General features: G+C 41.6%; 1 long non-coding RNA gene across 1 annotated transcript, besides 1 other annotated feature; it reads right to left on the reverse strand.

Moving 5' to 3' along the window:
* Positions 452-951: an enhancer, noted in NCBI's record as "H3K4me1 hESC enhancer chr3:138941089-138941588 (GRCh37/hg19 assembly coordinates)". NCBI's record gives its function as "activates a minimal SCP1, AML or CMV promoter by ChIP-STARR-seq in primed H9 embryonic stem cells {active_cell/tissue: H9 hESC(primed)}" and the evidence as "EXISTENCE:reporter gene assay evidence [ECO:0000049][PMID:30033119]".
* On the reverse strand, positions 11,197-11,727 carry PISRT1 (PISRT1 lncRNA). Its single transcript, NR_027070.1, has one exon. It is a non-coding gene; the product is annotated as a PISRT1 lncRNA (long non-coding RNA).
* Positions 11,728-24,193: the final 12,466 nt, after the last annotated feature.

Raw genomic sequence — 24,193 nt, forward strand, 5'->3', positions numbered from 1 at the left:
TGGCCCAGGGTTGCACAGCAAGTACTTTCCTCACAGAGATAGTGAGGCTGGCCATGGGGAGGTGCCCTACATCTCCCCCATCCCCTAGAAGTCATCTGCCCAGCAGATGATCTGGGCTGCAGTATGGAAGCCTGGGTCAGCTGTAGACTCTGCTCCCCCAGGGTCCTGTGGTGGTACTCCTATGGCTCTCAGAGGCCGTTGGGGCTGGGGTACAGTGGGGGCCCCTCTGCTTTCCCTCAGTCCCCAGGAAGGGCAGACTGCTAACTGAAAAGGCTCTGCTGCAGCCTAAGCTGAGGGGAGGGCCTTCCTCTCCCATCCAAATGAAACCCATGGTACAGAGCCGTCTTTATCATGTCCCAGCTGGGACTGCCTTGAGCTTGCTGGGAGTTGCTGGGGCTGGGAGCGAACCTCAGGACAGGCTGACACGGCAGAGAGGAGATAATTTCAATCTGCAGCCTCCAGATTGAGGGAGAAATGTAAACACAGGCTGCTGAGCCAGCTGGGCACCCCACTGGCTGGCCCTCCACAGAGCCCGCTGTGTAGGGAGTGGGGTTTCGTCTGTGACCTGGTTTTTCTCAGGTCACATGTGAGAGGGTGGCTGCTTTGGCTGCTGAGGTCCCTCAGGCCAGCCTCATCCTCAGTGAACCTGAATAATGCACTTGGCCTGACCAGCAGACGGGGAGGTGAGAGTCCCAGCCCAACACCAGACAGAGCTCCATCCGATCCTAGCTCCATTCCACACTTCGCTGTGGAGCATCCTTCAGCAAGTCACTTGATTTCTCTACACCTCAGTTTCCTCATCTGTAAAATGGGGGTCATTTTAGGACCACCTTCATGGCAGTGTTTGATTTTTATTCATTCTACAAATGTTTATTGGGTACTACTTAAGTTCTGGGGAGCATTCTAGGCATTGAGGATACAGCATGAACAAAATACAAAGCAGAGGCTGTCCCTCTACTCAAAGCTGAGAGTGAGGCTTCAGTGAGATGCTATGGCTAAAATGCTTGACACTGGCCCTGGCACGGAGAAAATGCTCAATAAATGGTAGTTACTGATTGTTATAATTAATTGAGTCAGTGCAGCCTGAGTCCATCTCCCATCCTCTTCACCCCTTCACATGGCTAACTTGTACTCAGCTTTTAGTATGTAGACGTTCTTTCCTTCAAGAAGCCTTCCCTGATTTCCTGAGCTGGATTATTTCCCTTTCTCTCCACTTTATTATGGCACTTATCACAGACCATTGTCACCTGTGCACTCTTCAAGGCCAGGCTAGATCTTGATCCATCCCTGGCACATTGCAGGTGTTCATTAAATGTTTGTTGGAGGCTGGGCATGGTGGCTAACGCCTGTAATCCCAGCACTTTGGGAGGCTGAGATAGGTGGATCACCTGAGGTCAGGAGTTCGAGACCAGCCTGACCAACATAGTGAAACCCTGTCTCTATTAAAAATACAAAATTAGCTGGGCATGGTGGCAGGCACCTGTAATCCCATCTACTCGGGAGGCTGAGGCAGAAGAATCACTTGAACCAGGGAGGCGGAGGTTACAGTGAGCTGAGATCACACCATTGCACTCCAGCCTGGGCAACAAGAGCGAAACTCTGTCTCAAAAAGAAAAAAAAATGTTTGTTGAGTGAATGAATGAATGAATGATTGTGAGTCCTAACCATAACCCCTACTCTCAGGGTACTTTAGGTTATAAGAGAGTCAAGGAAAGGAACTTTCTTGCTTACGACTGAGAATCACTTATGGGGAAACCACAGGTTAGCAGTGTGAATTTCTGTATGTGTGAGTACATGATCGTGATTGCTGACATTTATTTATAGTGTGTATGATAGCTGAACATTGTTAGGAGTACTTTAGGTTGATTTAATCTTAGCCTACTCCTATGGGGTAAGAATGATAATTTTCCCCATTTTGCAGATGAGGAAATGGAGGCCCAGGATGGTTAAATATTTTGCTCAAGGCCATCCAGATAGTAAATGTGGATGGAGTCAGGACTTGAACCCAAGTGGGACAGCTCTAGAGCCGATGCTCTCAATTCCCCACCCTGTGATTTCCCATGCCTGTGTGTGTGTGCGCGCACATGTGCTTGTGCATATAGATGTGTGGGCAGATGGGCATGCCCGTGCGTGTCTTGTGGCAAATGTATCCTGGGAAACTCCTATTATGATGGGCAGTCTCTGGCCCTGGACAGGCTCTAGAGCTTGGGGTGGCAGAAAGAAGCAAGCTATTGCTTTAGGTCCAAGTGACAGAAACAGGTAGTCTAGAAGGATGTGCTGTCATAAAAACCATAAATAAAAACCACTGTGTTTTGAGAAACCATTTGCTTGTCTCTGGGTGGACCTGATGATGTGTGGGCTGGTGGGGTGGTGACAACTGCAGGTCTGAGAGGTTGTGGACACCAAACTCAGCATGGCATATTTATTTACTGGCTAGTTTTAACATTTTTCATTACATATATCTCCAGGGACCCCAATGACATATTGAGAGGCACAGGGTCTTCTGCCATTCTTCAGGCTCTTGATACTGTTTGTTTTTTCCCCAGCTGTGGGCAGAATGATTCTTAGGAAACTGATGAATGGTGTTTGGTCAGGGGAAAAGAGCCCATGTGTTTTTGTGGGTGCATCTGTTAGGTGCAGAACTGTGTTACACTCAGGCACTCTTCCATGTGTGCCTGGCTCTACATACTCCTTACTCAGAAAGAAAGAAGCTTCCTTGATGCAGATTGTCATTTTTTCATTCAACCAACACTCCTCAAGATGCTACTCTGTGCCAAGCCTTGTATAGGCCTTAGGAATAAAATGGAGCACGAGACCCAGGCCTGGAGGAGCTGACAGTCTAGTGGGAGAGTCAGATCAGGAAACCATGACAGCCCAGGATGGAGAGGGCCCTACCTGCGGAGCATGCAGAGAGCACCTCATGGAGCAATTCCTAATGCAGCCTGGGGCAGGTGCAAGCAGGGAAAGCTTCTTGGAGGTGCTAAGTGGGATGAGTTTTGAAGGGTGAACTTAAGATAACCAGGGAAACAAAGTGAAGGGATGCTTTCATGAGTTGTAGGTAGTATAAAAGCCTGGCCTGAAGAGAGGGTCCAGGGTGCTCAGAAAATACTAAGTAGTTTGGTTTGGATGGGGAGGCATGTGTTTGTGCTTGTTGGTGTCAGTGTGTGTGTGTGCATTTGTTTATCAGGGGAGGTAGTAACTGAAGAGTTGCATTGGCAATTTCTATTTACATGTTTTCTGTGAAACACTTCTATGAAGTACAATGCATAAGGAACATTTAGTCATTCACATTTTAGTGTGAATAAATTGACCTTTTTTTTTCTTGAAGAACATCGAACCCTTGAATGAGAATAGATGCTGAATGATGATACAGGCTACCCTGTTCAAAATTAGTCATATTCCCTACTCTGTCACATTCTCTGCAACTCTCAAAACCCTCCTGGAACCTGTTGCTGTTTTCAGCCTGTATCCCCTCTGAAGCATGGCAGTCTTGTTGTCTGCCCTGCATTGTAGAAAGCTGAGGAACCTAACATTTGTCCCACACTCACCTCTGGTTAACCCTGTTGGGAGGAAGGGACCCTCCTGATACAGAGGCATGGCTTGGGCAGGCGCCACAGGTCTGAGAGAGTGAAGGGAGGCCTGGGCAGGCTGCCGGCCAGACCACCTGGCCCAGTCCCTGCTTACTGTCCCTGTGCCCAGACCTTGCCTTGCTCCCAGCTGTGGTATCTTCTCTTTGACAGATGAAAGTAATAGACCACCCCCTTCAGAGGGGGCTCCAGTAACTTAAACCATGTGGGCTCCACGGGGTAGGGTGGGATGCAAAACACACTTTTGCAGGGAGAAGGGAAGGCGTGAGGAAGAGCCATTGTCTCAGTTTTGTGTGTCCTGCCTGGAGAGGGCCTCAGGGTGGATGTTTAATGGGCTTGCCAGCTGGGCGATGGAGCCCCAGGCCTCCTGACTCACTGGCCACTTGATTGGCTGAGTGCCTGGTAGACCTAGCTTCTGGACAATCGTGGTGCATGGGCTGCAGGCACATCTCCAGAATGGGAACTTTGGGGTATACAGTCCCTTGGAAGTAGCTGAAATAAAACCTCTCCAAAGTGGTGCCATCTCTGTCAGGACCTGATGGTTTGAACTCCTGGGATGGTGGGCTTCTCTTTCAGAGCTGAGCTGACCTTCCGAGGGATCTGGGGCTGAGGCCAGGTCCTGAGCTGCTGAGGGCAAGGCCCTGAGGATAAGAACTGGGGACAGACAGCATGTTCTAAGCCAGGCTGGGTGGCCACTTGCTGGGACACAGTGGAGGATTCACTGTCAGGTAGGACTGTTGCAACAGATTATGTTAAGAAACTGTACTTGGGTTCCTATACCTTATGAGATAGCTGCACATACGTTGTCTCTTTTGACCTTACAACAAGCCTAGGTCCTATATTGAGGATTAAGTTATTTAAAAAGGGAACTTGCCCAGGGTCACAATGAGGAACGGGTAAAGGCAGGTTTTGAATCAAGGCCTAAGCCCATTTTCACTCTTTACAGTACATCTTTGCTTCTAAGGGTCAGCTCCAGGTTGCTGGAGTTCAAAGCCCAGCTGGGCCACTTTTATGTATGGTGAACTTGGGCAGGTTACTTAACTTCTCTGTGTCTCAGTTTTCTCATCTATCATTGTTAACGATAGAACTGCCTGTTAGGATTTTAGGGAGGATCTAATGAAGTAATTCAATGTGAGACCCTGAGCAAGGACCAGGCGCATTGCAATTGCTCACCAAGTAATAGCTGCCAAGGCCGTCAGTAGAATTGCTGGGGTTGTGCTGGATTGTAGATGAGCATGTTGGTGTGGATGTGATCTCAGTACCCCATCACCTGGACTAAAGGGTGTGATGAGCTTTGGCTCTTTGGCCTCCTGAGGGTCCCCTTCTCTTCAAGTCCCAAAAGATGACTTAGACACTGGGCTCCATAGCCACTTTCACACAGTCACTCTCCCATGGGGAACAGGGGAACAATGAAGGAAAAACACTGCATAATCCATTCATGGCTGGGAGCTGGCTGTGGCTGTTCAGGGCCCTGTCAGACCATGCTGGCCTGGAGCTGTCAAATCATTAAGGAAGGTTATTTTGAAGAGGTGGACTTAGTAAAGTTCATGCAAATGGAATGTTTTCTGTAATGAGGAAGCATGGTCTGAGACTACAGTGGTCTGAGAATAGCTGGCCATACATCCGAGGTGCCAGGCCAGTCTTGGTTATGTGTGATGTCTCAAAGTAATTATTAGCAGTGCCCTTTTCATTGTTAAACGTGCCCTGGTTCAGATGATAAATTATACGTCAACCCTAATTTGAGTTGCAAGCAAGGCTTTATCCACTGAGCTGGCTACCTCGCTGAGTGTAAAGGTGTGCTGGGAAAGCCCCTTTCTTCCCTGGTAAAGCCTGTCACTACAGGGCTACCAGGATCCAGATGGTGGGGCCTGTATGGGAGACATCCAGGAATAGCCACAGCACTTGGAACCCAGGCAGCAAAACTCCTGACTCTGCAGAGTGGGGGTGGGGGTGGGTGGAGGAGCCAGGAAGACGGCCTTGAGTGCAGTCCAGCTGGCAGCATGGAGGCCTGGGCCCACAGCCAGAGACCCACACTGCTTTGTCACCTGGGTAGGAGTTGGGGAGATTTTAGTTCAAAGACATATGAGATATTGGTCTGGCTTAACTTTTTCATTTTCCTGATAATAATGACAATGGTAATCATGACTACCTTTAATTAAGCCCCAACTAAGTGCCAGGTGTGTGTGTGTGTGTTTGTGTGTGTGTGTGTGTGTGTGTGTGTATTATGCACAAATATATATGTATATATAATTTAATTAAGCCCCAACTAAGTGCCAGGTGTGTGTGTATTATGCACATATATATGTGTATATATATTTGTGTGTAATACTTATATATTATATATAATCATATATACACACACTATAGATATAGTGTGTATGTATAACATATTTATACATATGTAACATATACACACACTTCTTAAAGTAGTCCAGAGATGTTGGGTGAGACAGAAAGAAGAAAAGGAACACTCTTCATATCACCCCACTAGTAAGTGGCAGAACCAGGATTTGGACCCAGGATCCAGTATGCCACTTGCACAGCCCTGCAGCCCAGGTTGGGCTTGGAAGATAAAGAGGCAGGGGAGGATGGGCTTGCTGGGGACCTTTCTGTTCCTGTTTGTCCCTTGCCCTCCCTGGGCCATGTCTGCCAGGGAAAGGCCATGCTCGAGGCCACATGAGGAGTTGCTGAGCTGTCTTTCATCCGGTCCCGCAGTTATTTGTTCAGCATGCAGTGCAAATTTCCCTGTCTCGAGACATGGAATCTGGTAAAGCTTTGCCTGGATCAATGTCCAACCCCTTTCAAGTTCTGGAGAAAGTTACTCCTCTCTAAAGTTCAGACCTGCCAGACTCAATAACTCCACAAAAATGCTTGGATGAAAATTGCTCCAAGCAATCCCAGTGGAAAGCCAGCACCTCACCCCTCGTTTAAAGTTATGATCCTTATCATAATTAATTCAATAAAGAAGTAATGTGCTTCAACCTAGGCAGAGAGAATAATTTTCTGTCCTGACTGGTATAAACTTTCAACTCGGGACATTTAAACTCTGGGTCTGAGCTCTTGCAGCAAGTAATAAATTGCAGACCCCGGCAGGGCTGCAGAACCCTGATTTAAACTGCGGTAAATAGGCCGCTATTGAAGAGAGGAAGATTTGGATTCGGGTGGGCAACTCCAATAAATAGCAGAGCATTGTTTATAAACCCTGCAGTCCCGGCTGGCCTCCGCCTTGAGACAGGCAGTAGCGTTTGCTGTTGAAAGCACCAGAGCGTTTGATCCTCACACTCAGAGGACCCACCTTGAGTCTTGAATTTAAAATCTGTTTCCTTCTATAATTGAAAGGTAGGATTAGCCTGACTTCTAAACAGACTAACACATTCTCAAGTGGAGATACTGACTTGGACCAAGCCAACTCAGCCCAGAGTTGCCTTTCCTACTCTTTCTCTGGAGGTTGCAGTGATAAAAGTTCATTCTGGATTTGTTTTGAACACGTTCAGAGTAACGAAGCCCCTGTATTGTCCCAGAAGTCCATCAGGTTTGCAGAAATTACAAGTTTAGCAATCAAAGTCTTTGGAAACAAGTTATAATAGAAGGAAAGTCAGTTTCAATCAAAACAACTTTCAGATTGCATATTATAGGAAAAGATAAATTCAACATCCATTGTTTTGTGAAAATAATTCAATGATGAGGGAGGCAGGGTTCTTTAAAGTGGTTAAATTTGGGAACATCAAGGCGGTTGTCAGACTCGTATTCTTTTGTTCCTGGCTTAAGATTTTGGATACCTCCTTTTTGAACTGACAGCAAGCATGCATTCCAAAACTCAAGAGGACCTTTCTCTTCAATTTTATGGGGTTGAAAACAATTGTATTATCGGCCCACGTTCTGCTCTGTGGCCTCAAGCTCATGCAGAGATGCACTGTGACAAGGCTTACTGCAGTGTTAGCTATTCCAAACCACGCCGGGCTTGCGTAGCGCTATATCCAAGACAAATAGCTGGTTCTGGAGAAGTGATTGAGAATATTCATGGATGTTATTCATCAAAACACACAACATACACATACTAGGCAGCCTAGACCCTTTTGGTATCATAAAAAATGTGAAGCGCTGCCCCAGGGGAGGGAGGAGGAGCAGTCCTTTGAAACTTAGATGGGGAGAAGAATGTAGGAGAGAGGATGGGGCAGCTAATCAACTATTTCAGGTCCAGGTACACCCCTTACATCCTTTTTGGAGCATAGACAAATATACATAAATATGTGGATAAATAAAATAATTGTGTGCCACATATATCAATCATTTTCTGTGGGTTTGTAAAGAAAATATCTAATATTCTGTTTGTGCCTTGCCTATATTTGTGTCATCCATTCGAGGCACCGAGTATAAAATAGAAAATGGAAGCTGATGTTACTTTAGCTCTTGACATGGTCAAATATTTCTATTGATGGTGACTCTGGGTCTTTTCTTTCTAGTCATTTTTTTTTAAGTGAGAAAAACATCCACTTTGTAATTTATAATGCTGGATAACCAATTTTAAAAAAGAAAGAAAAACTCAACAAAAAATAAATACTCAAGGCTGTTGTTTGTCACTGGATTTTGTTTCTAAGCATCCCACTTAGACTGCTCCTGACCCTTTCTTGGTACAGTCCGTCTGGAAGGGCTGGTTTCCCTGGGTCCCTAAATGGGTCGGATGTCAGTGGTGAACAGTCCGTCTGGGGTGAGAGGCGGAAGGGCTGGTTTCCCTGGGTCCCTAAATGGGTCGGATGTCAGTGGTGTCTGTGGGGTCTGCTTCCTTGACATTGTCTCCCAAATGAGAAGTGACCATTAAGACTTCCGGGGGCTTAATCTTTCAGACCTAGATCAGCCCTGCTCAGCAATTTCAAACAAACCCAACAATGTGGCTGAAACTGGCACAAGATAGGGTACCCTGGGATGAAAGCGCGTGTTAGAGCAGCAACTGAAATCCAGAAAGCTAGAGCTGTGTAGCTTTCATGACACAAGCATTTGAGCCAGCATGTTTGACCAACGCTCACAACCCCCGCTTGCGCCCCCTTCCACCCTCCAATCCCTCTTGGATTGATTAAATTGGCTCAAGATGACACCAATAATTGGCTCAAGATGGGGCTTCGACAGGCCCAATGATCCATATCTTCACATTCCCTAAAATCAGTCCTTTCAGCTCTGTGTTGGATTTAGGATGGTTTACATTGGCTCCGTCACAAACATTTTAATAAAGTCCCAGAGAAACCGCAAACGGGTGACATCATTGGATGGTGTTAAAAAAAAAAAAAAAAGAGTCCCATTTTGTAAGAGAGAGGCTGGGCCTCCAGAGTGTGATCAGGGTCTGCCTTCCCCATTTGGTCATTCAGTAATCATCCTCTGTAATTAGGACCATAATATTTAAAATGGGGTGCGGCAGGGGGTTGCCGGCAAAGGACATTAGCTATTAAGTAAAAAACAAATATGAATATTTTGACATAAAGTAGCCAAGAAGATGAAGGACTCTAGGGTGGGTTTGCCGCCCCAGGGCTGAAGGGCTGGCTGCCTGGACTTGGGTGGAGGCATGTGGAGCATTAATGTAAGGACAGCCCCTTGTCCCCTGTCCCAGGACACAGAGACAGGACAGTGGGGCTTTGGAGCTGAGGATCCAAGCTGGAGAGGGGAGCCACTCAGAGCCTGGGGATTCCCATTAAGAGGGTTTCTTGCTGAGGGGTAGCCTAGAGGGAATTTTCATTTTCTTCCCTATAGTATTCTGTTCACTTACCTGGAACTTTTTCTAAGAGTTTATATTAGTTTTACAATTAAAAAAAAAAAAAAAACACAAGTAAGCTTTTTCAAAAATTAGTATAGCTATTTTGATTATGTCCAATGATTGTAATTATATATTAGACTGAAAATATCTGGAAAAATACAATATTAATCTTAATGGTAGCTCTCACTGGGTGGTAGGACTAGGGAAGATTTTTGTCTTCTATTCTTCTGTGAATTATTTTTGTAATAGATAAAAAATTTCAAAGGAAAGGGAAACATTGAAACCTCAAGAAAACAAATTGAGCTCATTTAGACATAGATTAACCTATGTGTATAGTGTCCTCCCTCTTCCTGCAAAAAAAAAATGAGAGTTGCTGTTTTAATTTTAGTATTATATTGTATTTTTAAAATGCATTTCAGGCAGAGGTGGGAGGATCACTTGAGCCCAGAAGTTTGAGACTAGCCTGGGCAACATAGCAAGACCCTGTCTCAAAAAAATGCATTTCACTCGCATGATTATGAACTTACAAGAAGCAAGATGTTTTCAAATGGCAGAATCCAGCTTCCCAGTTGAGGAAGGGACAGATATTGCATTCCCTGCGAGTCGGGCCTTGCTGTCTGAGGTGAGTTGGTGTGCTGGTGGGTCCCCCCTACTGTTGTTGCTCCCTCAGAAGGGGCTGGCACATTTGATGTGTATCCCCTTGTCAGGCAGCAGGGCTGAAGTCATGTCGAAGATTTCCCAGAATAATCTATCCATATGGCCATTACAATTAATTGACTTTCCTGTGACTGAGGGTCAATCTGATGCCAGAATATACCTTGATCACTTTTTTCTAGTGAGAGATTTCTAGACTGTTTTGTTTTATTTATCTTATAAACATATCTCTGTGTTTTATGGTTCACACTGAAAGAGGAACCTGGGGACCTTACAGACCATGTAAAAAAGGGGAAGATTAAAACATAGACTATATGGGGTGGGTGTGTGTGTGTGTGTTTGTGTGTGACTGTTTTTTTTTTTTTTTTTTTTTTAAGCGATGCATGTTTTAAAGACTGGATCTGGCCATGACTAAAGGCTCATTGCTAATGCTGGGCCTTATTTCACTGACTGGAGTTCAGGCATATGGAAAATACCTGTTAGTTCAACTAAATACACCTAATATGAAAAATGGACTCTGTTCCTTGTGCTAAACAAATGCATTAACAAATTTGCATAATGTAAACTCATCCCTTTAATGACTGTTTGGCCCCAAAATATTGCTGGGGTTATTCTTTCCTCCTCTCCTCTCAGCCTAATTTTTTCTCACAGAGAAAGTGGGAAGGAGAATACTCTGGAATGAGACAGATGTGAGATCAAATCTCTTTTTTGTTTCTTGCTGTGTGATTACGGGCAGGTTGCCTAACCTCTCTGAGACCACAGTTTCTTTTGTGTGTAAAATGGAAATTGTATCCCTTTCTAAGGGTGATTTAAGAATTGTATGATATGGCCGGGTGCAGTGGCTCATGCCTGTAATCCCAGCACTTTGGAAGGCCGAGGTGGGTGGATCATGAGGTCAGGAGTTCAAGACCAGCCTGGCCAACTTGGTGAAACCCTGTCTCTACTAAAAATACAAAAAAAAGAAAAAAAAAATTAGCCAGGTGTGGCGGTGGGCACCTGTAATCCCAGCTACTTGGGAGGCTGAGGCAGAGAATTGCTTGAACCTGGGAGATGGAGGTTGCAGTGAGCTGAGATCGTGCCACTGCACTCCAGCCTGGGTGATAGAGCAAGACTGTGTCTCAAACAAACAAACAAAGAATTGTATGATATGATGGATATAAAGCACCCAGCTCAGACTTGTTTTGGCCACACTGACAGAGGAAGGTGAAGCTTTGAGGCATAAGAGAAGAGCCCCAGAATGAAGAAAGAAGGAGAATATGGCTTTATTCACAGCTGACTCACTTTGGGAGAGTCACGGCTTCTCTCTGGAACTCAGTTTCCCACTTAGAACATGGGGAAGGTAGAAGTGTGTGGAGTGTGTAGAGTGGTCAAGAGCCTGGATCAGGGGCTTAAATCCTGGCTGCCTTACCTTGGGCCACTTCACCGTGCTGTGAATTTCCTTCTCTGTCAAATAGAGGCCTTGTGCAAATTGTTTGAAAGCCTTTGCAGCAATGCTTCGAGTGTGGTGTTGTTTGAGTATCAGTGTTTGCCATTATTCTTATAACAAGGTTCTCTTTGGTCCCTTCTGGCTCTGTTTTTATTTATTTTTTTATTTCTACTTCCTCTGCCCTCAAATTTTCAAGGACAGGCTGATTTTTATTTTATTCTTCAACATTAAGGTAACTGCAAACATATTGTTGAAGGAAAATAAAAGGTACTTCTCAGGCTTTCGTCTGCAATAACTTAAAGAAAAGGACCCAGAAAAAAAAAAAAACCCAAGGACCCAGCACTGTCTTGATTCTGTACAAATGTTCACCTCCTTCAAAGAGGCAAGAAGGCAAGTCCTGCCAGATCTGATTGTGCAGACCCAAAGGATCTGATCGCCCGTCACTAAGGCTACTAATCAAATTTCCATCCAATATGCTCACGCAGGATTTCCTGATCAAACACTTAAGCCTGCCCCTCTGCACCCCCATTAGCTAACATGTTTTATATGCAGAGGGGTCATCAAAAGTGTAATTGCCTTAAAGAAACTTAATCCCGCATTCTTGTCAACTCAAAGATAACTAATAATGCTTGCTAGCTGATATTTTTCCAACATCAAGAGTGTACCAGAAATTAGGATCTTGTTCTTAATCTTCCTCACAGCAGATGTTGAAACCTAGGTGTACTGATATCTCTCACGGGCCAGGTAAAAGGATGAATTTTCTCTAAAATTAGCTGGCTTTTCTGGGACAATATGCTGCTGCCACGTAATGCTAGAAGACTGGAATAGGCTGTGGAGATCCAAGCCCAATGGTTTTTCCTAGTCAGTGTAACATTATTTTGGCTTCCAAGTTCAAAGTTTACCTGTGAATGCTTCTGAGGATATGGCATCCATTTTACATTTGAATACATTTAATCAGCTAACATTATGGAGTGTCTGCAAAAGAAGTTTGCTAGATGCCCGCCCGAAAAGAAAGCAAAGTGAAAGTACAGCACAAGAAAGGGATTATGTGAGTGTTGATTTTAATGTCAGTTATTGTATTTAATAAGGGTAATTAAAAACATTACATGCTTGATATTGGTTTATTATGTGGATATATTCTAAACATAGCATGTGCCTAACAATTCATTATTTTGCCATGCTTCACAGCTTCTAATATGTCCATTTGGTCAGTGTTTCAGGGAATTTTTTTTTCAAAAATTGAGATTTTTTAAAGCTCTTATTTCTAAAGGTGTTTCTCATATTTGAAGTAAGTTTTCTGTTTCCATTTTCAAATAATCACTATGTGATTATTTTATAATCATGTAGTATTCCCTTTAAGGGGAAAAACTTCCCATATCCATGTGCATACATGTACATGTGCCTGCCTGCACATGTGTGCTCGCGCATACACATACCTGCACGGACACATCAACAATGCCTCACTGGGATTTGTGGTTTGAATGAGAAATGGTCCCAGTCAGGCTGGGACAAGTAGGTCAGGAAATTTAACCTGACTTTCCCAACCCCAGTCATCACTGGCAGGGTCTGAAAAGGCCAGGTTTGTCAGGACTCAAGGATCCTTGGTGTCTGAGTGGCAAAACTGATTTGAGGTCCTGTCTGTCCTGTCCTAACATTTGCCCTAGACTCCTCCAAGTGGCACTAACTAACCCAGGCTTTTGTGCACAGTGCCTCCACTTGTGTGATTACCCCTGACTCCACTCCTGGATGAGGTCAGGGGTCATCTGCACAGACTTGTTCCACTACTTCGGCAGGACAAAGAAAATGTGTTCCTTGTGTTTACAGGGGGAGAACAGAGCCTGCCACGAGGGCCTGGAGAGGCCCGTGTAAAACAGGCCCATATGACAAAAAGGTGAATGAATGGTATAAGTTGCAGCCATTTATGGCAGTCTAGGTATATGCCTGTGAGGGAAGTAGGATTCTCCCTTCTTTACAGATGAGAGATTAGGTGGCCTGTCAACATCATAAGGTTCTTCAGCACCACTGCCCCCACCCAGGATTAAAAACCCAGCCCCATCCATCTCCAAAGCCCGTGTTCTGTCCACTGTTCCCTCCACCCTGCCCTCCTAGGGAAACACCATGCACTAGAACCCTTATGCAAGAAGCCCATGCACACACAGTCACACATGGTACATGCTGCTTCCTACAGCTACAATGACTGCATGGTCTGAAGTTGTGCAAACAGGAAAGGGAAACATCTATGAGAAAAAAGCACATTCCTCTTCTGTCCTGTATACCTCTGCATGGGACACTCTGTGAGGAAGTCCTCAGACATCATGGTATCAATTGCCCTGGGTGGCATGGTGGGGGTGGCTCAGGAAGAAGCTGTCCAAATTCCCATCACCATCTGCCTCCCAAACTACCCTAGGTACAGTCTAATTAAGTAAACAAATTAAACAATCAATAAACAACTACAGTCTCAGTAAATTCAGTGTCCTTGCTGAGCAACTGTAGCTCCAAGACAAATCTCCTAGCTACCTCCCTGTCTTTGTAATAGATTTCTGCCCCGATCCTCCTCTATGTAAATGTTGAAGCAGTGTCTAGATAGGCCATTTCAACGATCTGTTTTATTAATACATTTACTCTGTATTCTGTCAGGCCCTGATGTAGGACCTGGACACAGAGGTGAACAAGACGTGGTCCTAGACCCTAAAGGCTTTTGAGGGAGGTTAAACTGATTAGGCCTACCTGCAGGTTGAAAGGTGGTCAAGATGCTCTCTGCAATTGAATTTTCAGCAAAGGCATGAGCGTGCACTGACCTACCATGGGAAAGCAACTCTTAGCTTGTTTTCATTATAGAAGGGTATCTCTTTATTTATTCCTCGACTTAATCAGGCCTTTGAATTGGCTCATCTCAGGCTGGGTGGGACAGAGGGAGAGAAGCAGTTCATTTCAGGTCAGTTTGGGCTGCTTGTAGAAAATGGGTTGTTACTTGATTGCACTGGATGATCCATGTCTGATTTGAGAAATTACTCAGCAATCTGATATTTTGCTAGTTTGAAAAAAATGTTTCCTACCAGCTGAATGCAAATCACATTTTATATGTTAATGAGTCATAAACTCAGAGAATATCCATGCTTGAAGAGTCCCTAAAGGTTATGGAGGCCAGCCTCCCCATTTGACAGATAGGGATACCAAGGCTCAGAGGGTAAAGGACTTGTCCAGAATTGAGGTAAAAATCACCAGGCAGCAAATTATGAGTGTTTCTATTACTGGGGCATTTTCCAACAAGTTTATTGCCACAGAGAGAATGGTCTCAGTTACCCTGGGCAGCCACAGAACTTGACACAACTCAGGAAGTAGTTTTAATGTCAAGAGTTTCACATATTTTCCAACTTTGTTTTACCAAAACGCATCTGCTGTTCAGAAACATCCCCCGACTTCTAGGAGAAACATCTCAAAAGGACAATGAGAATATTTTCTATTTTTATAATGATGTCGGATCTTTTACCTTTGGGAGATTTGTATTTAAACCAACCCAGCTTGCCAACTTCCCTTAAAGAAGAAGTCATTAAATTTCCAATCGGAAATTTGAGCATAAATGAGATATTTCAAATGAAAACAGCAAGGAATTTGCAAAGGCATCTGATCCTGCATCATACTCCCAAATCTTCTTTAAATTAGTTCTATGTCAAAAGGCTACATGGAAAGACTTTTTCTTTTGTCTGATAAAGGAAAAATTGGAACAATATCACTTCAGTTTAGTATCCAGGCTATCATTTGGTTTCATTCCAAGGAGAGGTTTTTTTTTTTGTTTTTTTTTTTTTAACTTTGGTCTGTAACTGCACATGTATATAAGTTTAATCAGTTTCTCCCATAACTTTATTGCCATTTAAGCTATTCTCTACTTACTGACCTTCTTTCAAATTAGATGGGTGGATCTTGTCTATGATACGGCATTTAGCTCCATTAGAAGAAAAATATCTTAGCTGAATGTATGTAACATTGCTTTGCTAGAAGAAAATAAAATTCTTCTGAAAAGGCAGCTGGAGAGCAAGATGAGTTCACTGCTCCACTGCCTCCTGGGGCTGTTCCTTATCAAAGCATGTGATTCCATATCAAAAAAACGTGACCATGGAGAAACACTTAAAGACCCACGACTCCACTAGAATCTACTCCAGTTTCACCCATTGCTTCCTTCTGAGATCTCAGGGACCAAGATAGTTCTTTACCAAGCCTTACAGCCTGAATGTGTTCTCAAAGGAAGTCCCCCCAGAGTCACTCTGGCCCTACTAGCCTAATGCCATCTCTTATCCAAGATCAGCTTGACCCCTGGTCCATCCAGTGATATGTGTCTCTCCCTCAAGTCGGGGGGGCAAAGGTCTTAGTGTCACAGGCTTCCTGGGAACCAAGGCAGTCCAGGTTGCAGCCAAGTTCTTGGGCCATGTCAAAAACTTACTTCCTGAGTCTGGGCTTCATTACTTTCTCTACTTGTTCCATCAGCAAACATTTACAAGCACCTAGTCAGTGCCAGATCCATGTGAGGCACCCAGCCATGGGCTCTCATGGTTTGTTGGCAAACTCAAACATGGAGGAGATGCTCACAGAAATGAGGGCATTTCTACATTCTTTAATTCCAGGAATTGCCCAGTGTCCTTTCTGGGGCCAGAAAGCCTTGCTCTTCCCATCACATCTGCCTCAGAATCTCAGAACACCGTGTTTGGGATTTCTGAACTAGTCGAAAAGTAATGAGAGACTATTTCAGACACTAAGGACCCAAAGTTGTTAGCTAATTATAGGTACATTTTCTCAGAAAATCCTCCCTAACAAAAAGAGTCTTAGTGGGAAGTGGGATCGGGGTGGGGCCCAATCCAGACCTTTATGTTTTTTTCCTGTCAGGGTATCCATGATTCTGCTTCTTTTTCCCTATCTCCCTTCTTTCCTTCCTTCCTACCTCACTTGCCTCTCTCTTTTCTCTCCCTTCCCCTCTTTTTCTTCCTCTTTCTTTCTTTTTCGTTTCTCTCCTTTTTCTTTCTTTTCTCTATTGTACTTCAGAAACAGAACAATCACCCCTGGAAGAGATATACATAAACTGTTTTTCCAGAATAACTTTAAGCTTTCTTTCCAAACAGTATGAACCCGGGGAAACCGTGGCACCTTGGATCTGGCTCCCAGCATCCTGCCTAGTCCTTTCGGGACTCTCCCTTCTGCCCACATTGCCCTTCTTCCTCCTCTTCCTCCAGCCTGCTCTGTGGCAGCTCCGTCTTCTCTCCTCCCCCTGTGCCAGCTCCCTTCTGTCTCTAACCCACTCCCTTGGAAAACCTCACTTTCGTCAAGACTTTGGGAACTTTTCTGCCTTCCTCCCAGAGGCATTTGGGTTTTAAATAAAAACCAGGGAGGCAGTGTTCAGGCAAGCTCCTGGTATTTATTTTGGAGCTCTATGTGGGGATGAAACGGAATCTCTAGATTGCCTCTCCGCCTTCAGTCCCAGGAATGAGGGGACTATTTTCTTGGTACCTTACATTATGGGGGGCATTGCCTTCCCTCCTAAACTCTAGACAGTGGACTCCCTGAGGGCAGTGACTGTGGTGTTCCTAGTTGTGTCCCAGCACCCAGCGCTGAGTGTGTGCTCCGAGAGGGCTCACTGAGAGGAAGAACGGATTTGTATGCAGCGTCAGCCTCCTCTCCGGGACTCACAGGCACCCACAGGAGGTTATGCCACAGCTGTTTCCTACTCCTCTCCTCTCCTCTCCCACTTTCTGTTTTTCTTCACTTTGCTTTTCCAGTGACTAGTAAGCCAGTGAATGAGATCCTTATGATTTTTAATTTTGGGAATTCTGAAAAATTTTTCCGTAGCGTAATTCATTTTCCAATGTGGTTCATGTATATTTGGGGAAAATGGGTATCGTTAAGTTTGTTAAGCATTAAGTTCTATTTATAGCTATTAGAGCATGATTGTTAATCAAGTATACCCCTACTTATTTTTTTCTACTTGATTTGTTGATTTCTGAGTGAGAAATGTTAAAGTCTCCCATTTTGATCATAGCTTTGTCAATTTCTCCTTTTGGTTTCTGTTTTTGCTTTATGTATTGTTAAGCTGTGTTTTAGGTATATAAAGATTAATGATTTTATATCTCCTAGATGTTCATTTATCAGTAGTAAGCAAATGGGTTTGTCTCTTGAATTTTTTTTCCTTCTTGGTCAAGCCTTCTCTGTGTTCTGACGTTAATACTTTTGTATCTTTTTCTTTATCATTTGCCTTATTTGTATTTTTTCCTTGAGAAGTGTTTTTTTTTTTTTTAAATAGAAGAGTGCACAGATGTAACGAGCACAGATTCACACAACCGAGGACTGATTACTGTTGATCTTTTTCTCCCTCTTTCTCTTTTTATAAGAAACAAACAATCACAGATAGAGCTACAGTTCTCTTAACCAACACTCCTTGTCTCCCCCAGACTTTCCTGAAGCATCCACTCTCATGAGTTTGGTGGGTGCCCTTCCTATCTATTAATCATGCTTTTACATACATGCATGCTGTTTCTAAATAGTACACATTAGGATTTTTGTGGTTTTAAATTTATGTAGATGATGTCATACACTATGTAGCATTGTGCACATTTCATTTTAAACTTACTCTATTTAAAAAAAAAATCCAACCCTGTTGCTGTATGTAGATCTTGTTCTTTTTAACTGATCTAACTATGTAGAATTCTATCATAAAATTACACATTACATTTTATGTGTGTATTTAGTTGCTGATATACATTTGTGCAGTTTCTTATTTGCAGTCTTACAAACAATGCTGCAGAGTACATCCTTGTACAAGTCTAAGTATTTCTATATGTTTCTCCAGACTGGCTGACTGTTCCACATCCCTGATAGCATGTGGGAGCATTTCTCTCCGGTGTATATTAGTAAGTGGAGTCTCTGAATTGTGGAATATGGATATAGGCAGTTTTAGTGGATTCTGTCTAGTGTGGGGTACGCTTACACCCCACTCTTTAGCAACACAACAGTACCCCTCTCTACTTCCTTGCCTTGAGATCATCAATACTTTAAAATATTTGCCCACCTGACTGGCAAAAAACAAGATTTATTGTGTGTTGTTTTGATTTGCATTTCCATGGAACTGAGAGTGTTTATTGGCCTCGAAACTTTTCTCCTTTGGAGCAGGGTATGTTTGTGTGGGGAGAGTATCATTTTCCCATTGCTTGCATGGCTTTCTATTTTTTTTAACCTAATCTGAGACTCCTTGGCTTTTATAAGATTTTAATTTATTAAACTATTTTACTTTCTGAAATATTTAAGCTCATTTCTGCCACCTTATTTTAAGCTTTTGTTTACATTATTTTCTTATTGCCATTTTTGTGTTTTCCTTTCCTACTCTTTGTTATGTTGATAAAATTTACTTATTTCCATTTATATTCTGTGGTTGCCTATAAATCTTTATTGTCAATATTTAAAGATATTATTCCATTCATGTTTATAATTAGCAACATATTTCTTTTGGATTTATTTGTCCATTCTCAGTCCATTATTTAGAGGTTTGTAGATGGAAAGAATTCTGAATTCTCAAATGTCTGAAAATGGCATTAGTCGCTTTCACATCTAAATGAGTGTTTGGCTGGGTATAGAACTTTATATTTAAGACCTATTTGAATTATTTTTAACCCTCAATAAATAACATTATCCTTGATAAACAATCCTTAATAAATAACATTAGCATTATTTCCCCATTGTTTTCTTGCATTTAATGTCGCTTGTAAGAAGTCTCCTGTTAACATCATTCTTATTCCTCTATATTTTATCTGTTTTTTTTCTCCTCTCTGGGAGCATCTATGATTAAAGAGAATTCTTATTAAGACTGTGAAATGTAAATACTTTACAATTTATTTTTTATTATTGTGTTCATTGATAATCATTTTCAGTTAACTTTGTACTTGGTTTGGGAAACTTTAGGGTCTTCAACTTTGAGCAATTGTCTTCTTCTATTTCTTTGAACTTGTGGTGCAGAGTTGAGTTTATCATTCACCTCAATTCAACGCCTACTCACCATTGGTCTGCGCGTAACTTTTCTCATCTGATGTTACCAGTTTTTGCCTCTCATATCATTAATCTACACTTCCATCCCTCCTTCCCCCTCCCCACCCCGCAGTAGTACCCTTGCTAGCGGCTTTGGTATATATCCTTGCTCTCTATGGTATTTTTGTTTATGTACCTATTTTCTTTTTCCCTTTTAGACCTCAGGTGCAGGGCGTTGAGTTTACCAAGTTCCCCAGTTCATGATCATTGCCCTTATTTGTCTATTCAGGGCCCTTCTCTTGTTTTATTTATTCTGTTTTGTTTCCTCAGCTCCTCCAATGCCTTTACTTCCCATCCCTAAACATTTCTATATGTTCTTATAAAATATATAGAGTTGTTTATCTGTGAAGATATTTTCCATTTACACACGTGGCATTTTACTGCAGAACTTGTTTCTTAGGCTTTTCACTGAGCACTGGTTTTCGAAGACCCACCCATGTTGCTCTGAACACACAGTCCTTAGGGATGGTCCAGCAGCCCATGCTTTATTTGCTGCATAGCACTCCATCCCCTGGTGAAGGGACCTCAGTTGCCTCTGTTCCTTGCCACCTCAAACAACACGATGATGAACATCTCACATATGTCCCCTGTGGACCTATGTGGGATTTTTCTGGAAATACATATCCAGGAGGGCAACTTCTGAATTGTGGGTATAGATTTTCTTCACTTAATTAAATACTGCCAGATTTATCCCCCAAATGTGTGTATCACTGCACATTCCTGTCACTAGGGAATGGAAGACACTGTATTCAAACTTTCTGTGAACATTACCATTGTCTGATTTTCTAATTTTTTTCCAATCTACTAAGAACATAGAAATTTCTTTTATTTTAATTTGCATTTCTCTAATCACTAAACACGGTAGCTGTTTCAGTTTTCTCTTTGCAATTACCTGTTCTTATCATTTTACCATTCTTTTTTTTTCTGTTGTTTTGACTGTGTCTTTTTTGTGGTTATTGTTGATTTTTTAGGAGATCCTTTTAGAAATTAGATTCTTGTCAATTTAATACATTGTAAATATTTTCTTCCAACCATCTGCCTATAATTTTGTCTATGACTTCTGTCAATGAAGAAAAATACCTAAATTTTATTTAATCAAATCATCTTTTAAAATTGATTAACTTACTGCTTGTGATGTATAATTTGAGAATTTTATTTAAGGAGTCTTCCATCTCTAGGATACAGAGATTTATTATCTACTATCAGTTTTATAGTTTTACATTTTACTCTTAAGCCTTTAATCTATCCAAATTCTGTCTTTATGCATTATGTTAGATAAGGATCCAGTTTAAGTTTTTTTCTGAAGTAAGCCATTTTTTCCAAGGCAATTTTGTAAAGAGATAATCTTTTCCACATTAATTTGCGATGTCACTTTATCTGTGTCAAATTATCATATATACAGGAGCAGGTCTCTGAGCTCTATCTTCCGTACCATTGTCCATTTGTGTGTCCTTGTGCCAGCAATAGACTGTTTTTATTGTTATGGCTTTGTAGTATGTCTTAATAGCTATTTGGGCAATTTCAAAATAGTTTATTTATGGTTCTTTATTTTTCTGTGTATATGTCCATATAAATTTAAAAACTTTAAAAACACCTCTTGGACTTTTAATTGTGATTACAGGGTGTTTTAGGTTATTTGGGGGAGCATCAACATCCTTATACTATTAGATGTTCCCACCCAAAAGTATGGGATGTCTGCTTATTCAAATCTTTTGTGCCCTTCAGTGGAGGTGTTAGGTATTCTTTGTCAAGATAATTCTTAGATGACAGTTTTTTTTTTTTTTCTGAATCCTGAATGGCATCTTTTTTGTGTTACATTTTCTAATGATTTCTGGTTTAGAGAATGCTGTTGAGTTTTGTAACTTGATATTGTGTGTCTTAGACAGGACAACAAAATACCCTGGACTAGGTGGCTTCTAAACAACATTTGTTTCTTGCAGTTCTGGAGGGTGGGAAGTGTAAGATCAGGGTGTCCATAGATTCAGTGGCTGGTGAGTGCCCGTGTCCTGATTCATAGGTGACACCTTCTTGCTGTGTCTTCACATGGTAGAAGGTGCGAGGAACCTCTTTTATAAGAGTGTTATTCCCATTCTTAAGGTCTATACCTGATGACCTAATTACCTCCCAAAGGTCCTCCACCTTGCGTGCTAAAATTTCAACATAAGAATTTTGGGGGAACACAAACATTTAGACCATAACATTGTTTCTGACAACTTGCTAAACTCTCTTTTCATTTGAATATTTATTGATTCAGTTGAAAGGATAGGTCTTTGAAATATTTAGCAGTTGTGTGTGTGTATGTATGGGTTTTAGATTTACATAAATGATATGGTATAAACCTCCTTCTGTTCTATTCTTTTCTGTTGTTAAACATAATGTTTCTAAACCATATCCATGTTACCGCATGGATCTCAATATATGATTCCTTTTGCTATCTGCAGCATATGCCACTACGTTTTGTTTATCCATTTTCTTAGTGATTAAATCCTAGGTTGCCCCCACTCCCTGCTATGAGAATCATCGACGTGATAGGCATCCCTATATATGTTCCTTTATGGAGCCACGCACCAATTTTTTCCAGAGCAGTATCAGGAATGGAGTTGATGGGTCACAGGATATATGCATGCTGAATTGTATTATACTAATTGCTTCCAGATTGTTTTTCAGAATTTCTATACCAGTCTACACACCCACTGATGTTAAAACAGGGTTTCTTTCCCTGCATACACCATCACCATCATTTGTTATTGTTCAACTTTATAATTTTTACTACTCTAATGGCTGCAAAATTGTATCTTGTTAGATTTATTTTTCTAATTACTAACTAGAAAATCAGTATTCTAATTACTAATTATTATTCTAATTAGAAAAACATTCTAGTTACCAAGATGAAGCGTCTCTCCATAAACTTGTTAGTCATTCAGGTTTCCCCCACTTGAACTGTCCTTCTTCATTTGCAAGAGTTCCTTTAGAATTCTGACATTAATTATTACAATATCTCCTCCCAATGTGCCACTGGCCTATTCACTTTGTCCCAGGTATTCTTTATTGTGCATGGCCGGTATAACTCCTAGGCATTTTGTTTTTTTGCTGCTACCATGAATGGCATCTTGTTTTCTATTGTAGTTTGGGTGGTAGTGGTATAGAGAACAGCACTGACTTTTGGAAGTGAATCTTGTTTCTGACAGCTTTGCTAAATGTTCTTATTATTTCTATTGTTTATCCAGTTTTGTTGTATTTTTCTATGTAGATAATCAAATTATCTGCAAATATGAGAGTTTTGATTCTTCCCTTTCTATCTTTTACCTCTTATTTCATTTTCTTGTTCTATTCTATAGGGTGGGGCTGCTAGTACTAGGGTGAAAGTAGTTAAAACAGTGACAGTGGACATCTTTGATTGGTTGTTGATATTAAAGAGAAATGCCTAAAGATTTTCCATGGAGTGTGATATTTACTCCATGTTTTAATCTATAGCCATGTTAACATAAGGAAGTTCTGTCTCTTAGTTTTCTGAGAACTTTTATCACAAATAATTATATTTTTATCATAAATAATTAGGCTATTTTTTTTGGCACCTAATGACACAATAATGTAATTTTCTCCATTGGTCCATCAATGTGTGGAATACATTAACTTCTAAAAATTTTATTGCAGTATAATGTATTCTTTTTAATACACTTTTGGATTCAGATAACTATTTTTAAGGGTCTTATTTTCTTTCCTTATAAGATCCTTATCTGCCTTTGGAATCTCAAATACATAAGCTTCATAAAATGAGTTTGGACAGACTTTACTGTTTTCTGGAACATCTTGTATAACAAAGAGTTTAACAGTTTCTTAAGATTGTGTTGGTCTGTCTATAAAGCCACCTAAGCTTGAGGTTTTTCATGGTGTTTGAAGTGGGCAGTAGGAACAAGGTAGTCTTTAATTCCATAATTTCTATTTTTTAATGATTATTTTATTTTGAGTTAATCTTTTACCACATTTGGCACTATATACTCTTTCCAGAACTGTATCCATTGTTATCACATTGATTGTTCATAATTCTTTTTCATTCTGCATTTTGCTTAAAATTTTCTCTTTTTTCCTTTGTCAGTCTTGATGGATTTGTCCATTTTATTAGTGTTTTTAAAGAGCCAGTTTAATATTTTCTTTGTTTTATTTGAGTGTTCTCTATTTTGTTGATTTCTGCTTTTATAATTTTTTTAATATTTCTTTTTTTTTCTTTTGGGGATTTTTTTGCTGTTCTTCCAGCTTCTTAATTTGAATGCTTACTTTATTTATGGTCTGATAAATGTATTTAAAAGCTATAAACTTTCTCTAAGTACTGCTTTAGCTATAAACTATGGATTTTGACATATGGTACAATTCAGATATAAATATCTCATAATTTTTAAGCATAAATGTTATTTTTTATTTTATTTTTTTGAGACAGGGACATGCTCTATCACCCAGGCTGGAGTGCTATGGTGCAGTCATAGCTCACTGCAGCCTCGACCTCGTGGGCTCAAGCCATTCTCCCACCTCAGCCTCCCGAGTAGCTGGGACTGCAGGCACACGCCACAACACCTGACTAATTTTGTATTTTTGGAGAGACAGGGTTTCTGTATGTTGCCAAGGCTGGTCTCGAACTTCAGGGCTCAAACAGTCCATCCACCTCAGCCTCCCAAAGTGCTGGTATGACAGGCGTGAGCCACAGTGTCTGGACTACCATAAATTTTA

The sequence above is a fragment of the Homo sapiens genome, chromosome 3, assembly GCF_000001405.40.
Source record: "Homo sapiens chromosome 3, GRCh38.p14 Primary Assembly".
NCBI classification, from domain to species: Eukaryota; Metazoa; Chordata; class Mammalia; order Primates; family Hominidae; genus Homo; species Homo sapiens.